Raw genomic sequence first — 1,392 nt, 5'->3', positions numbered from 1 at the left:
TATTCTTCACCCAGGTCACCCTATGAGTTAAACATTTTAAGTTTTTATGAAGTCCAATTTATTCATTTGTTTTCCTTCTATGAATGGTGCTCTTGGTGTCTTGTCTGAGAATTTTTTCGTAATCCTTAGATCTCAAAGACTTTTCAGAATATTTTTTCCTAAATGTTTTGTACTTTCCATTTTATATTTAAACATTCTAATTTGAGTTAACTTTTGTATAACGTATGAGGTTTCAGTTGGGGCTCATTATTTTGACTACAGATAAATTGTGATATAAAATGTCATCAAAATAATTACACATACACTGTATAAATAGAGCATTCTATGTAAAATATCACTAAGTAAAATGTAGAATTTGTTAGATAATAAGCAGAATTCACAATGGTATATTTACCTTGAAAGTAAATTTACTAATTAATTTGTTTTCTAACTTATTCTTCACAAAAAAGATCTCATACAACTTGATTTGAAGTACTAAACTGAATTGTTTGATTATAAAAATTGGAAATCAAAAGGATTTGTAAGCAATATGTTTTTTCATGACAGTTAAATCTATTTTGTCACTAAGCTGCTGTTTTTCTCCTTTTTCAGATTTTTGTCCAAAATATATTTTATAATTTTATTATAATTCTGAAATAAAATATAAATTTAGAAAAGGGAAATTAAAAACTTGCATTTTATATATAAAACATTTTAATAATTTTAACCACTTACAGCCAAATAATTACTTTTATGGTTGCAATTTTTTAAGTGACGCTGTCTGCTCCTAATGATGAATCATTCTTGTAAATAAGAATATTAACAAAAGTGTATATAGGGTATACTTTATATAAATCCCATTAGTATTCTTTCAAAATTTAAAACTTTTGGATGTGAAATAGTTAAGACAATTTTGTTACATGTTCATGTGGACTCCTCCTCATTTTGCTAGGATATCTAAATGTTATATTACTTGAATACTACCTAGTAACATTTTCAGTGATATAAGCAGTTATCAGTGTTTGATTCTTTCCCAGTGCTCAATTATGTACAAATTATGTACAAATACATTTATTTTTTATTAAAAATGTAAATGAAATGTTACAAGAATAAAGAATACTTCATGATTTTAAAATTCCTGAGAATGTCTCAGAATTCTAGTTTTTCATTCCAAAATGCCAGTAAATAATAGCTGTTGGGATTTGAAAAGAGTATATTTTTAGTTAAGGGATTCAATTAAAATTGGACACATCATATTATAAATTTTTTTTATAAAGTAATGGTTAATATATTTTTAAAAATATAAGTTTATATCTGGGACAAAACTATAAACCTCATTACAAGACAAAAAATAATTGAAAAGGTAAAACAAGTAAAATATTTTAAATAAGATATACATAAATTAATATGTAA

This window comes from Homo sapiens, chromosome 3, assembly GCF_000001405.40.
Source record: "Homo sapiens chromosome 3, GRCh38.p14 Primary Assembly".
NCBI lineage: Eukaryota > Metazoa > Chordata > Mammalia > Primates > Hominidae > Homo > Homo sapiens.
The sequence above is the reverse complement of the archived record's forward strand: the minus strand, read 5'-3'. Positions refer to the sequence as shown.